This window comes from Homo sapiens, chromosome 5, assembly GCF_000001405.40.
Source record: "Homo sapiens chromosome 5, GRCh38.p14 Primary Assembly".
Lineage (NCBI taxonomy): Eukaryota > Metazoa > Chordata > Mammalia > Primates > Hominidae > Homo > Homo sapiens.
Window position 1 is genome coordinate 68,703,430 of NC_000005.10, and position 16,014 is coordinate 68,719,443.

At 39.5% G+C, this 16,014-nt stretch overlaps 1 long non-coding RNA gene across 2 annotated transcripts in view, besides 1 other annotated feature; it reads right to left on the reverse strand.

Moving 5' to 3' along the window:
- Positions 1-16,014, reverse strand: part of LOC105379013 (uncharacterized) — a 406,546-nt gene that overhangs the window by 277,118 nt on the left and 113,414 nt on the right. The window lies entirely within an intron of this gene.
- Positions 8,375-8,424: an enhancer, noted in NCBI's record as "active region_22637". NCBI's record gives its function as "activates an Ori minimal core promoter by ATAC-STARR-seq in GM12878 lymphoblastoid cells {active_cell/tissue: GM12878}" and the evidence as "EXISTENCE:reporter gene assay evidence [ECO:0000049][PMID:35858748]".

A 16,014-nucleotide genomic window follows, 5' to 3' on the forward strand; every position in this document is an offset into this window, starting at 1 on the left:
GTGAAGAAAGTCATTGGTAGCTTGATGGGGATGGCATGGAATCTATAAATTACCTTGGGCAGTACAGCCATTTTCACGATATTGATTCTTCCTACCCATGAGCATGGAATGTTCTTCCATTTCTTTCTATCCTCTTTTATTTCATTGAGCAGTGGTTTGTAGTTCTCCTTGAAGAGGTCTTTCACGTCCCTTGTAAGCTGGATTCCTAAGTATTTTATTCTCTTTGAAGCAATTGTGAATGGGAGTTCACTCATGATTTGGCTCTCTGTTTGTCTGTTATTGGTGTATAAGAATGCTTGTGATTTTTGTACATTGATTTTGTATCCTGAGACTTTGCTGAAGTTGCTTATCAGCTTAATGAGACTTTGGGCTGAGACAGTGGGGTTTTCTAGATATACAATCATGTCGTCTGTAAACAGGGACAATTTGACTTCCTCTTTTCCTAAATCAATTCCTAATTGAATACCCTTTATTTCCTTCTCCTGCCTAATTGCCCTGGCCAGAACTTCCAACATTATGTTGAATAGGAGTGGTGAGAGAGGGCATCCCTGTCTTGTGCCAGTTTTCAAAGGGAATGCTTCCAGTTTTTGCCCATTCAGTATGATATTGGCTGTGGGTTTGTCATACATAGCTCTTATTATTTTGAGATATGTCCCATCAATACCTAATTTATTGAGAGTTTTTAGCATGAAATGTTGTTGAATTTTGTCAAAGGCCTTTTCTGCATCTATTGAGATAATCATGTGGTTTCTGTCTTTGGTTCTGTTTATGTACTGGATTACATTTATTGATTTGCATATATTGAACCGGACTTGCATCCCAGGGATGAAGCCCACTTGATCATGGTGGATAAGCTTTTTGATGTGCTGCCACATTCAGTTTGCCAGTATTTTATTGAGGATTTTTGCGTCAATGTTCATCAAGGATATTGGTCTAAAATTCTCTTTTTTGGTTGTGTCTCTGCCAGGCTTTGGTATCAGGATGATGCTTGCCTCATAAAATGAGTTAGGGAGGATTCCCTCTTTTTCTATTGATTGGAATAGTTTCAGAAGGAATGGTACCAGTTCCTCCTTGTACCTCTGGTAGAATTCGGCTGTGAATCCATCTGGTCCTGGACTCTTTTTTGTTGGTAAGCTATTGATTATTGCCACAATTTCAGATCCTGTTATTGGTCTATTCAGAGATTCAACTTCTTCCTGGTTTAGTCTTGGGAGACTGTATGTGTCGAGGAATTTATCCATTTCTTCTAGATTTTCTAGTTTATTTGCGTAGAGGTGTTTGTAGTATTCTCTGATGGTAGTTTGTATTTCTGTGGGATCGGTGGTGATATCCCGTTTACCATTTTTTATTGCGTCTATTTGATTCTTCTCTCTTTTTTTCTTTATTAGTCTTGCTAGCGGTCTATCAATTTTGTTGATCCTTTCAAAAATCCAGCTCCTGGATTCATTAACTTTTTGAAGGGTTTTTTTGGTCTCTATTTCCTTCAGTTCTGCTCTGATTTTAGTTATTTCTTGACTTCTGCTAGCTTTTGAATGTGTTTGCTCTTGCTTTTCTAGTTCTTTTAATTGTGATGTTAGGGTGTCAATTTTGGATCTTTCCTGCTTTCTCTTGTGGGCATTTAGTCTTTTATTAGAAGAGTTAAGAGTTTTCTTTACTCTTTGTCTTTCTCTGCTACACATTTAATTTCTATTCTTTTAGTGTTTATCCTTAAAGTCTTAATATGCATACTTAACTAAGTCTAAAGTTAATCAATATCTCTATCTTCCTCCAAAACAATACAAGAACACAGAATACTTTAAATCCAACCAGTGCCTGTTTTGCATATTACTTTTGTACAGTTTTTAATTATTCCTTATCTTTTTACCTCTAAATCATGCCATTGTTGAAATTCTTATTTTATAGAGTCAATTCTAACTTAAATTTATCCCATGCTTACTAATTTATTTGTTCATCATTCCCACTTGTACCTCACTCCAAATTTCTGGATTTAACACGTTAATGCAAAATTCTGTATTCAGCCAAATTATCATTTAAGAGTGAAGGTAAAATAAACAAAATTGTATCTTGGCATTTTAAAAATATTCTTTTTGTTATTGAAATGTTTGTTGTCAGTGCTTATAAGTAATATACTGTTCCTTTTTTATTGTTTCTGAGATTTCCTCTCTGTCTTTTGAGTTCTGAAATTTCCTTTCAGAAAGTCTATTGTATTTTTTTTTATTTAATCTACTTGGGATTTGTTGTACTTTCTGAATATGAGGACATAGGTCTACCCTAATTCTGGAAAATTTTTAATCATTTTCTCTTCAAGTATTACCTTTCACCTACTCTCTTTACTCTTTCCTTCATGATTCTTTCCTTTATGATTAACATAAATAAGCCTTTCAATTCTATCCTACAATGATTTTTACCCATCTTACATATTCTCCATTTTTTATCTCTCAATGATAGTTTCTGGATAATTCTTTTAGATCTACTTTTCAGTTTACTACCTCTCATCTCAATTTCATCCAATTACATTCTACTTTAGAAGTTCTATGATGTTTTAGTTATTTTCAAATTTGTCTTCTTTTTTTTTTATAATTGCTTGGTGTTTTTTCTCATATTTTAAATTCCCAGTTATATATCTTTAATCATTTAAAACATTATTGTAATAGCTTCTACACAATGGCTCTAATATCTTAAATTATTGACAACTATCTAATTCTAAATTGCTTTTTAATATCTGGTAAAGATAGATTTCTTATGTATTTTGCAATGGAATATCATGAGCTCATGTTCAGCAGCTATTTATCTGTGAGAATCCTATGAGACCCAAATTAAGGGTTTATCCCACCATATCAGTTTTATGTTTGTTTCTTCCAAGCACCTTGGAAATAGCTCTTTTTATAAAGATATCTCATCTTGAGAGCTTCCCAATAATGTAGGCACAATAAAATCAAATGTCAAACAGACACAGGTCCATAGCAGATCTTTTTTCTTGTCTTTCCAGCAGTATCTCGCTAATACATAGAAAATAAGTGGATCATAGGAATCTTTTTCCATTTTTACTCATAGTGGATAAATTATCCTCTTTCTTACCCCTTTCCCCATCCTCAGGTGCAGTCAAAATAAGTCCCTAAATAGCAGGTTGGGTGGGGTTTTTTTTTCCCTCTAGTAATCCTCAGAATGTTTTCCACCAAAGGGAACCGTATTAGTGTATTTTCACACTGCTGTAAATAAATACCTGAAACTCGATAATTTATAAAGGAAAGAGGTTTAATTGACTCACACACAGTTCAGCATGGCTGGGGAGGCTTCAGGAAACTTACAATCATGGTGGAAGGCAAAGGGGAAGCAAGAACCTTCTTCACATGGCGGCAGGAGAGAGAATTGCAAGCAGGGAAAATGTTAGTGCTTATAAAACCATCAGACCTCGTGAGAACTCACTATCATGAGAACAGCATGGGGGAAACTGTCCCCATGATCCACTCACCTCCCACAAGATCCTGCCCTTAACATATGGGGATTATGGGGATTGCAATTTGAGATGAGATTTGAATGGGGACACAGGAACTAACTGGCCAAGGCAGAGTTTCCAGAAAGAGCAGACACACAGCCTACTTTAAAAGCAAAATGTTTTATCAGCTTCAAGGTTGACATCTACTAGCATATTAAAGAGGAAAGTCAACAGAGAAAGAAAAAAGAGAGGAGGAAAATAGAGGGAATCAGAGAATCAATGTTTCTTGGCCACTGATAATACATCACTCCTGAAAACCACTTTTGTGGCAGATTTTCCCTCAGTGTTAAGATGCTGCACAGCCAGGACTAGGATCTAACCAATGTCTCCCTGAATCTCCTTCTCAGAAGGGAAGTCCATGAGCCAGAAAAGAGGGCCCATGGTAAACATCAAGAAAACAGCCTCAAGTAAAGGACTGCTTAAGGCAGGTAAAAGTCCTGTTTCTAAGTAGACCAGGGAGCTTGCTCTTTTTGTAAATCCTGCTTTTGCTCATTAGTTCCTTCTGGACATACTGCCCCATTTCAGTTTTTCATTTCCTATCCTCTCTAACCACACCTTCTCCATCCCCCAAGTTTCCTATTGTAATTGTGCTGATTCTCTAGGCTAGAAGGCTAAGATGACAATAAAGAGGGAGCAAATATTGCAGGAAAGGCTCCCAATCTCCCAATGTCAAAATATCTGCAGCATTCCCCCTGGAAAAGGCCTTCTTTCCTTGAAGGCCAGATATATCTGTGACATACGACTGCAAGATAATGTGATTGCAGGATTCAGGCCTTATGGTGCTCCAGGACATTTTTAAAAATCATGCAGTCATCAAAAAGCTCCACTCCCAGCTGTGTGGAAAGTGACTCTGCAGCTCTCACTTAATTTTGGTTGCATTACCTCATTCTATACATCATTCATAACAAGCAAGGAACCACAGGGCTCCCTTTGCTGAATCTTCATGTCCTTGACCCAGCTCTAACTAATTTGTCCATTTACTTCATAAATGTGGTAAATCCTGTAGCTAAAAGAAGTTGTGCAGAAGTTTAATGCAGTGGGTTCTCGCCTAGTTGTCACAACAAGCAAAAGAAGCCAAGACAAATAGGAATCCTGACCTACTACCATTTTCTCGTCCTTCCCATGTGATTCACATTGCCATCACTCTGGCAGCTAGGATGGAAAGGTTGAGAAGAGAGGAGATTTTTTAAAATTGTCTTTGGATGGGCTATTTATGTCTTCCAACCTGGTACTTTTCCTTGAACTCAAACAGAGCACCAAGACAGACTGCAGCGTGACTCCTCTACCCCACATAAATGAATACATTTACACTTCATCAGCTGTATTGGGAAGGAACTAGGAGTCTCCATGTGCTTCATGGGCCCATATAGGTTTCTTGCATGTCAAGGCAGAAGCTTAGGAGCACATGGCCTCAGGCCTGAAAGTGAGGCAGTACCCAGTCATTCCCCAGGAGAATCGTTCTGTAAGGATTTTGTCTGGTTTGTTAACACAGCTCTTCTACCAATCTTCATCATCAGGACTTTATAACTCTCTTACAATTAGATAATATGGAAGCAAAGGATTCATTCTGGACCTGCTATAAAAGTAGCAGTATTTGGGGCTGGAGTCTGCAGATATCTTGAACCGAACCAAGAACTCCAGTCTGTCTCAGGATTCAGACACAATTAGATAAAGGAAACTTCTCAGCCAAAGCCTAGACCCATTACAACCTTCTGTACCCTTTACCCCTACAATAAAACACTGTTAGAACTGAGGGGCTAAAAGACGCTGAATCATCAGAGCAAGATTAGATCATGATCACGTACTGTGCCGAGACGAAAAGCTAATGTAGACATTTTAGAAAGGGTTTCAACATCAAGAGTCAAAGCAAAAGGGGTTTTATATTTAACTAGGAATTAAGCAAAAATTCTATTTCCCCAGAATCCCAATAACAAACGTTTTATTTCTGAAGTGTTTGGGCACACTGTACAGTCTTTGCTTGAGAGCTGCCACAGTAGGATAAATAGCAATACACAAAGGCACCAAGATTGACTGGAATTGCTCCAAATTATGCAACAATCTTTGAAAACCAAAAGAAGAGACTAGCAAAAAGATACATATTACTCTGTTTTAAATGGACTATTTTTACATTTGTTTAAGGAAAAGGGAGCCAGAAGAGAAGTTCACTCAACTAGATTATCTCTTGAGTCCTCTTCTCATAGAGGCCAGCTAATCTGGTAAATCAGACTTGCTTTCTGCCTACCCATGGGTCCTGCTGAGCTCTTTAATTCTTATATTATGGAGATTTGAAAACCAATCGTTAAAGAATGTATCAAAGAAAGTCTCAAAGTCAGCTTAAGGTTAATTTCCCTCAAGAAATTCTTGGCTTTTCTTCTTTTGGTGCCTCCCCGTCCCCACTTCTTAATTGCCTCTGTCTTCCTCCAGCCTAACCCCAGCTTGATCTTAGCACGGCTTGCCCCAGGACTGGCAGAACAGACAGGATAGCTCTTTAAGAATATAGAGTTGACTATTAATAGCAGTGACACAGGCCATTGAGAGCCAAGGCAGCCAAGCAAGGAAATCTGTCAGCCTGGATTAGCTTTCCAGCACCTGGGAGGTAGGACTAATTTATAAGTAAAAATAGACAGCAAAAATGTCTGGCCCTTCATAGGCCCCTGATGTCTGAGAAGGCTTGCATGGATCCAAGTCCAAGGGCTTTTTCCAGCTGTCCTCCAAACCTAGCAGCAAACTTTTTTAAAAAACTGGAATTAATAAAAAGAAGGCTTGTTTCAGTCTGAATCAAAATCTATGTCTATATGAACAATGTACCTTTTTCCATGGATTTCTAACCATTTAACCAGATCCCAAATAACCTATAAGAGGAGTCATGTATGCCATAGTATCCTGCAGGATTCACTTATCAAAGTTATTAACGAGTTATTTAGTAGAGTATGGTCGTGCCTTCTTTCTCTCTGGGCCTCCATGCATCCCCCCATGGGAGGGCTATACTTCCTGTACATGAGGTCTAAGCCTCTACTTCCCTAAGCTCTGGTAGAGTTCCTTTGCTCATCACAGAATGGACTGCAAGAATCACATCAAAATCTTTTGAAAGAAGTTTATATTTTAGAGGAGTATTTGAGGTTAATTTACTAAGTCTCTGTTTTTTATAAACCAAAATTCGGGCTGCATGCAGACACTTGCTGCCAAGTTTAGAGGTTAGGTGACCACATATAATTTATTTTGATCAAGTAATGAATTTATAAAATGAAATTATAAAATATTCACATAGGCCCTATTCTTAGGGCCCTATAGATTAGGTCACTTTGTGCTATGACAGTCTCTGTCCCAGAGAAATTTACAGTGCCATTTTACTGAAAATCTTTTTTCAAATATCTCAAGTAATTGGGTACACACACACACACACACACACACACCAGATACCCCTGAGAAGTGGCAGTCCTGTTGTGTAAGCTAACACAATTGGCCAGAGCATTTTCTTATGCTATCCAGTCTTTCAGTTCCCATCTCTTACCTTCTAATTATACTACCTCCTATTATAAATAAGTCTTTTTTTGTAGGGTGTCAGGAACTAGTAGACTCTTGCCAGCCCCATTAGCCATCCATATTTAGATCCTTTAATCTTTCCTCTAATCTGACTCCCTGAGTCCCCCTCCCCTTCGACTACCCCCTCTCCTTGTCCTTCTCCAAATTCCTTAAGATTCTATGCCCCTAACTCAAGCTTTACAAAATCAGAGTGATATTCCAGATGCTTGCTCACTGAGAAACTGAGAGACCAGCTGTCACCTCTGCTTTCTGTTACTCTGTGACTCAGGGTATGGTCCCAAAATAGGTCTGGCCTTTCATGCTGCCTTCTCTCATTGCAGTCTGGCTTCACCTTACCTGTCCACCATCACCCCAGTTCCCCTTTAGCATTCCTGCTTTCCAGGTTTCTCTTCCCCATGAAGTGAACATGTTTCAGTTTATTTCCATTCAAACATGAATATGCCACTGGTCAGCACTCTCAGAAAGAATGTGTCTTACTTTCACCCTGGTTTGGAATTAGCCCAAAAGTCTCCATGAACATTTCTACCAAAGGAGCTCTTATTTATAAGGCCTTCCAATCTGGAAAGAGAAAGCAAGAAAAAAAAATTATGATTTTAGACTCCATTAGTACTTCTAACAATTTTCTGGAGAAAGTAAAATAGCATTCCAGGAGGATCTGCCTCAGAAAAAAATTTGATGGGCTTATGAAGAGTGACTGTGTACCACCCTGGAGCTAAGGAGAGGAAGCTTTTCCCTACTAAAGTAAATTTCCCTGGGCTTACATGGAACGGCACAGTCATGGGCTTCATGGTGCTTTGTTGCTTGGGAACCCTGCTTTCTTCCCTCCTCCTCCCCCAGAATCTGTCCTACTCTCCCTTCTGGGAGCTCAGCTACGGCAGGTGGCAGGAAGGGTGTCCATGGGGACTGAGGAGCCCCACCCTCCTCCAGGAAAGTGCAGGGGCCCACGCTGTGCCCTGGGGAAGTCCAAGAGGCCCTCATCTCAGGAACTCCCAAGCCCACAGCACTAATCCCCACAGCTTCAAGAGGAGAGAACATTCCTATTTTAAGAGCTCCTGGGTAACGTTGTGCTCACTGAGGTCTGAGTCACTGCTCTTCTTTAAAGTTTTTGAAAGAAATCTATTTCTCAGCCATTAGCTTTGCATGTTTTTTTTTTCTGCCTCAAAGATCAATTGGTTTACCACAAAATGTAAAGAGAGTTAGTGAAGCAATGGTAACCAAGGAAGCTATGGTGTCTAGAAGTGCAATAACAGACAAGGGCAGAGCTAAGAGTTAAATAAGATCTAAAAATAAGTCACTAACTATACCCCACTTCCTGTAACATACAATACACAGGTACCTAGGAGAGAAAACCACTCACAGTTCAAAAGAACACATAAAGAACACTGCAATTAAACACAGCCCACCCTGACCCAAGTATCACCATCTCCTTAATTAACAATCTTGTAAGCAATGAGGATATTTCATTGTAAGCTTATTTGTCGTTATGATGCTTGAGAATATAGAACCACCATATCAGCCATTACAGTAATTACAAAAGAAGGTCACATCACAACCACGGCATTTGTTACCCGTTGTATAAACCACTGCAAGGTGAATGTGAGTTTTTCCACAGAGTTTGCCTGCAAGAAAAACCATGTATTTCTTCCTTATCAGCAAGCTACTGTCTAAACAATTTAATGTTTTCACATTACCATCAATAATAAAACAGCTAATGTTTATTGTACCTTTATACAATAATCCATTATTACCTCATTTAATCATTACAACAACCACATGAAGCATCCCCTTTTTACAAACAGGAAAACAGAGGTAAAAAGAGATAGAGTAACTTGACCAAACCAATCCCCGTTAATAAGTGTTGAAGTTTAATTTCAGATTTTCCTAGCTAGTCACCTCAAGAAATTAATCACATTTGATACGGTTGTTTACAATTCAAAATTTGAATGCCATCAGTTCCAACTTTATTTTAATGGCCAACTTTATCTTTCCCCCAGCTAGTTAAGCTGATTTTTCACATATGTAAATGACTTCTATTAAAATTCAGTTTGTACTCTTTTCTCAGACTTCTATATTTAATATCACATTTTGGGTGTGGCTCAGCAAAAAATGAAAGTAACTGGTTCAGAAAATAAACACCCAGTTTCCTCTTCATTCTTTTTCCTTTGAGAAAAAGAGTAGCCGGATCTAAATAGAATGACCCTGGCCCCAAGTTAGAAGTTTCCAATTCCTTGGGACTCCCTTGGTGTCTGCATTAGTTTGCTAGGACTGCCATTAATAAAGTACCACCTACTTGGCGGCTTAAACAACAAAAATTTACTTTCTCACTTCTGGAGGCTTAGAAGTTCGGCAGTGTAGCTTATTTCTGAGGCCTCCTTCCTTGGCTTGTAGATGGTTTTCTTCTCCCTGTGTCTTCACATGGTCTTCCGTCTATATGTGTCTGTCTTAATTTCCTTTTATTTTGAGGACAACAGTCACATTGAATTAGAGCCCACCCACGTGACCTTATTTAATCTTACTTCCCTCTTTAAAGACCCCATCTCCAAATACAGTCACATTCTGGGATACTGGAGGTTAAAACTTCAGCATATAAATTTGGGGAAGCAACAATTTATCCTATAGCACTATCCTAACAATTTTCTTTTACAAGGTTGTCTATGTAGCACAATATAAATGTCTTTGACCCTGACAACCAGGAGGTTAAATCACTGCTTTTTCTAAATGCTTTTGTATTACCTCCCTGTGATGATACACACAAGTTTTTCTATGATCAAACCAAGTTTTTATTCAAATACTGTTATCAGCAATACCGACCATATTATAGTTTTCACCTTAAAAGATACCGTTAATTTCATTTGTAAAGAAAATGCATTAAAGATGTATTTACCAATTATGAATTACCAATTGCCAATTAATAAAAATAAATTCTAGATTTGAAAAAATTTGAGGTCATTAACATCTTAAATTGCTATTATTATACACATGGCACTTAAAACTGTATCACCTCTCGTCAAGATAGTGCCCAGAATAACTTACCCTGGGCCTCAGCATATGTCTCAATTCCTGGTCATCCCACATGAAGATTCAGAATGACCTGATAAGAGGTGATTCAGATGTGTATGTTACATCAGTGTAGAAGCTACCACTTATGGGTACCTCCTGCTTTCACATGCTGTGCTACATGTGTTATGTACATTAAATCATTTATCTTCAAAATCTCTGTGGGAGAAATATTATTGTGTCTGCTTTACCAGTGAGTAAACAACATTAGAGAGATTAAGGAAATTGGCCAAGGTCACACAGTTGGTCAAGACAGGTCTTAGATGTGAGCCTAGTCCCATCTGACTGCAGAATTTTTTTTTTTTTAACCACCACATGTTTCTTCTTTGACTTCTTAAGAGATATAGCGGTGGAGTCTATGTGGCTCAGTGACTCAGTGATGCAGAACTTTTCCTAGGCCATAAAAATATCTAATCTAGTTTCACCAACTGTTAGTTTGGATAAATAAACTGACAACAGTATCTTTGTTTCTATGTTTTAGCTGAAAAACAAATCATGAGGTATTCACCATCAGAAATAAAATCTACATCTGTCTTTGGGAGATGATGAATAAGGTTACGTAAAACAATGGATGCATCTATTTTTCTAGAAAAGGTTAATTATATTGAGCAAAGCCAATTAGTAATCACAAGCTGCTATGTGGCATCTCTGGGACTGTGGTATTGCATTCCTACAAAACACTTATTTCATTGTTCAATTTTATCTGTTTTGTGTCCCGGCTTCCTAGTCAAAATGTGTTGAAGGCAGGCAGGAGCCTTTCTTCTTTCTATTATCTTGCGATGCTGAGCACTGTGCCTTGCACAGAGCAAGTGCTCATTAACCTTTCATTATCCGTTTTGAAGTCTCTACCAAGTGACCATCAAGAGAAGCACCTGAAGGCTTGGTGATAAGCCTCAGTCACACGACAAGGTGTGTAAGAAATCCCTAAAACCACTCCCCAAACCTTTTATTCATAAACGCAAAATGTCTGAGGGATGGCTGATGGTGCCGGGGAGGAGTGCTTTTGTAGTAATTGTGCAATTCTATTTATTTAGATAAAGTAGGACATGTCCGAAATCTTAACAGGTCTTAACTGGGGACCCTGAAGGCAGTTTCAAATAAAGCAGGATTCTGTATGGGGTGCTCATTAATGCACCTGAGCGATCCCAATTGAGGAGTGAGTCGGGCCAACCTACCAGCAGAACTCAGAGTGCCTTCCTCCTTCCTCCTGTTGGTCATGTGTCTTCTTTCTTAGCAGGACCTCTTCATCTTGACCAAAAAGTAGCTTATTGAAGTTATACAAACAGGCAAAAAAGCAGAGTAGTTATTTCTAGAGCTTTACTCTAAGAACTACATAACTAGCCACATTATACTTCTTTACCTAGCAGTAAAAATTAACAATAACTCAAAGAAACATATAAGTACACTGAATACTTAACACTGAGCCGCAAGGGCCCTTGGCAACTGTCATGGAAACCCTGATGCCAGAGATAAAGAGGGCTGTCTCAAAGGAAAGCATTGTCCTCAAAAGACGAACTAACTGTGAGAACATGATTGGATGGATACCAGTAGATCTCGTCCGCAGGAAAAAAGGCATTCTCAGGAAGCCTGCCGCAATGAACAGAACCTTTCTTTAGTCTGGCATTTCCTTTCGGTTCAGGACACCTGTCTTCAAGTCTGCCTTAGGCCCTTATATTTGTCCCAGAGTGACTCTGGGCACCTCTTCTAGAGCTTTCTATACCTCAAAGAACTAAGAAAACTATAAAATTATTCAGCCTATGACAGCAGGCTTTGAGAATGGCTAACTGATAGAGATGAGCTTATGGATTTACTGATCCTTTAAGGAGGCAGGGATATTTTCATATCCCTGGAATTTGAGGCAATATGAAGCCAACTAAGCTCCAGGGATTGAGGTGGCTCCCCTTAAGATTTTCAGTAGCTTGGGATCTCTCAAGACTGGTATGAAGCTCCTACTCCTCTGCCTAGGGAGGCTTTAGCTGCATCACAGCCTCAGGTAGGTTAGAAATGGATTGGCATCTAGCAGCTGGGGTGGAGTTGGAGGGCAGTTAGCTACTATACCCCACCAAATAGATCTCTCGCTAAAACTCTAAATCTGAGTTACCCTTCCTCAGAAGACACAGATGTGCATAAGACACTGATTTAGATTAGGGAAGGAGGCCATGAGTTTGGATAAGCAAAACAAGCACAAATAGGAAGAAAATGAAATCAGAGGTGCAAAGTATGATAGAAGAAAAAACCTGGACTACCCAAGCCACCACCAGTAATGCTTGTGAATACATTATCTTGGTGTGGACTCATTATACAGCCTAGTACCAAGCATTCCTCCTGAACGATTCTAATAATTGGAAGAGGACAGTAGGGCCCCAGAAGTGAGTCATATCAAAGCCATCACTACACAGCTAACCCACCCCTTTCATCAAGCAGAAATGATTCCATATTAGCCACAGCTTCCATGATCTCATTAGCAAAGATATTAAAAATCTGCTTTTCCTCTAGGAGGAAAGATTGAAGCACTGCCACAAATTATTTCACCCAGAATATTTTGGCTTGATTGGATGAATGGGGATGGGGAAAAATTCTTTCTCTCCATGGCAGTTTTCCTTAATCCTTTTGGGAGGGTACTTATGTGATGGAAAATGAGATACCTCCCGATGTGTGTGAGTCCAGGGAAAGGCCTAAACTTAGACTTGGGACACATTCATTGCAAGTAAGCAGCTTGGGCAAAAGGCAATTACGGGCTTACACAGACTAAAAGTTCACGGGTCGATCTGGTTTAGTGCATAAATGAACTCAGGACTCAAATAATATGATTAGGACATGACTTTTTTCCCTTCAATTAGTCCTGCCTTCCTTGTCTCAATTCCCATATGGCTGCATGATGGCATTGGCACCACGGACCTCTCAGCCTCTCAGGGTACAGACCCTGTACACAAGAAACAAGAGTGCTATTCACAGTAAAATTCTCAGAGCAGACCAGGGCCATGCGCGGTGGCTCATGCCTGTAATCCCAGCACTTTGGGAGGCCAAGGTGGGCAGATCACCTGAGGTCAGGAGTTTAAGACCAGCCTGGCAAACATGGCAAAACCTCGTCTCTACTAAAAAATACAAAAATTAGCCAGGGGTGGTGGTGGGTGCCTGTAATCCCAGCTGCTTGGGAGGCTGAGGCAGGAGAATTGCCTGAAACCGGGAGGTGGAGGTTGCAGTGAGCTGAGATCGCACCACTGCACTCCAGTCTGGGCCACACAGTGAGACTCCGTCTCAAAAAAAAAAAAGTCTCAGAGCATTTGATTGGGTCACGTGTTCACCTCCAAACCCAGACTGCAGCCTGGGTCATATGGCATCAGGGAATGGAATCAGGTATACCCCAAAGACACATGAACTGAGTTAGAAAAGAGGACATCAGGCTATAGTAATCATAAAAAGAAAGTGGTGCTGAGAAGAATGTATAATCTGTTGATTTGGGGTGGAGAGTTGTGTAGATGTCTATTAGGTCCCCTTGGTCCAGCTGAGTTCAAGTCCTAAATATCCTTGTTAATTTTCTGTCTCGCTGATCTGTCTAATATTGACAGTGGGTTGTTAAAGTCTCCCACTACTATTGTGTGGGAGTCTAAGTCTCTTTGTAGGTCTCTAAGAATTTGCTTTATGAATCTGGGTGCTCCTGTATTAGGTGTGTATATATTTTGGATAGTTAGCTCTTCTTGTTGCATTGATCCCTTTACCATTATGTAATGCCCTTCTTTGTCTTTTTTGATCTTTGTTGGTTTAAAGTCTGTTTTATCAGAGACTAGGATTGCAACCCCTGCTTTTTTTTTTTTTTTTTTTTTTGCTTTCCATTTGCTTGATAAATCTTCCTCCATCCCTTTATTTTGAGCCTATATGTGTCTTTGCACATGAGATGGATCTCCTGAATACAGCACAGAGATGGGTCTTGACTCTTTAACCAATTTGCCAGTCTGTGTCTTTTAATTGAGGCATTTAGCCCATTTACATTTAAGGTTAATATTGTTATGTGTGAATTTGATCCTGTCATTATGATGCTAGCTGGTTATTTTGCCTGTTAGTTGATGCCGTTTCTTCATAATGTCAACGGTCTTCACAATTTGGTATGTTTTTGCAATGGCTGGTACTGGTTTTTCCTTTCCATATTTAGTGCTTCCTTCAGGAGCTCTTGTAAGGCAGGCCTGATGGTGACAAAATCTCTCAGCATTTGCTCGTCTGTAAAGGATTTTATTTCTCCTTCGCTTATGCAGCTTTATTTGGCTGGATATGAAACTCTCGGTTAAAAATTCTTTTCTTTAAGAATGTTGAATATTAGCCCCCACTTTTCCGGCTTGTAAGATTTCTGCAGAGAGATCCACTGTTAGTCTGATGGACCTCCCTTTGTGGGTAAGTCCAACCTTTCTCTCTGGAAGGACCTCTTCAAGGAGAACTACAAACCACTGCTCAAGGAAATAAGAGAGGACACAAACAAATGGAAAAACATTCCATGCTCGTGGATAGGAAGAATCAATATCACGAAAATGGTCATACTGCCCAAAGTAATTTATAGATAGAGTGCTATCCCCATCAAGCTACCATTGACTTTCTTCACAGAATTAGGAAAACCTACTTTATATTTCATATGGAACGAAAAAAGAGCCCATATAGTCAAGACAATCCTAAGCAAAAAGAACAAAGCTGGAGGCCAGGCGCGGTGGCTCACACCTGTAATCCCAGCACTTTGGGAGGCCAAGGCGGGCGGATCACAAGGTCAGGAGATCGAGACCATCCTGGCTAACATGGTGAAACCCCGTCTCTACTAAAAATACAAAAAATTAGCTGGGTGTGCTGGCAGGCATCTGTAGTTCCAGCTACTCGGGAGGCTGAGGCAGGAGAATGGTGTGAACCCAGGAGGCGGAGCTTGCAGTGAGCCGAGATCACACCACTGCACTCCACCTGGGTGACAGAGCGAGACTCTGTCTCAAAAAAAAAAAAAAAAGAACAAAGCTGGAGGCATCACGCTACCTGACTTCAAACTATACTACAAGGCTATAGTAACTAAAACAGCATAGTACTGGTACCAAAACAGAGATATAGACCAATGGAACAGAACACAGGCATCAGGAATAATGCCACACATCTACAATCATCTAATCTTCGACCTGACAAAAACAAGCAATGGGGAAAGGATTTCCTATTTAATACACTCAAGATGGATTAAAGACTTAAACATAAGACCTAAAACCATAAAAACCATAGAAGAAAATCTAGGCAATACCATTCAGGACATAGGCATGGGCAAAGACTTCATGACTAAAACACAAAAAGCAAGGGAAACAAAAGCCAAAATTGACAAATGGGATCTAATAAAACTAAAGAGCTTCTCCACAGTGAAAGAAACTATCATCAGAGTGAATAGGCAACATGTAGAATGGAAGAAAATTTTTGCAATTTGTTCCATCTGACAAAGGGCTAATATCCAGAATCTACAAGGAACTTAAACAAATTTACAAGAAAAAAACAAACAACCCCATGAAAAGGTGGGCAAAGGATATGAACAGACACTTCTCAAAAAGAAGACATTTATGCAGCCAACAAACATGAAAAAAAGCTCATCATCACTGGTCATTAGAGAAATGCAAATCAAAACCACAATGAGATACCATCTCACGCCAGTTAGAATGGTGGTCATTAAAAAGTCAGGAAACAAGAGATGCTGGAGAGGATATGGAGAAGTAAGAACACTTTTACACTGTTGGTGGGAGTATAAATTAGTTCAACCATTGTGGAAGACACTGTGGCGATTCCTCAAGGATCTAGAACCAGAAATACCATTTGACCCAGCAATCCCATTACTGGGTATATTCCCAAAGGATTATAAATCATTCTACTATAAAGACACATGCACACATACGTTTATTGCAGCACTGTTCACAATA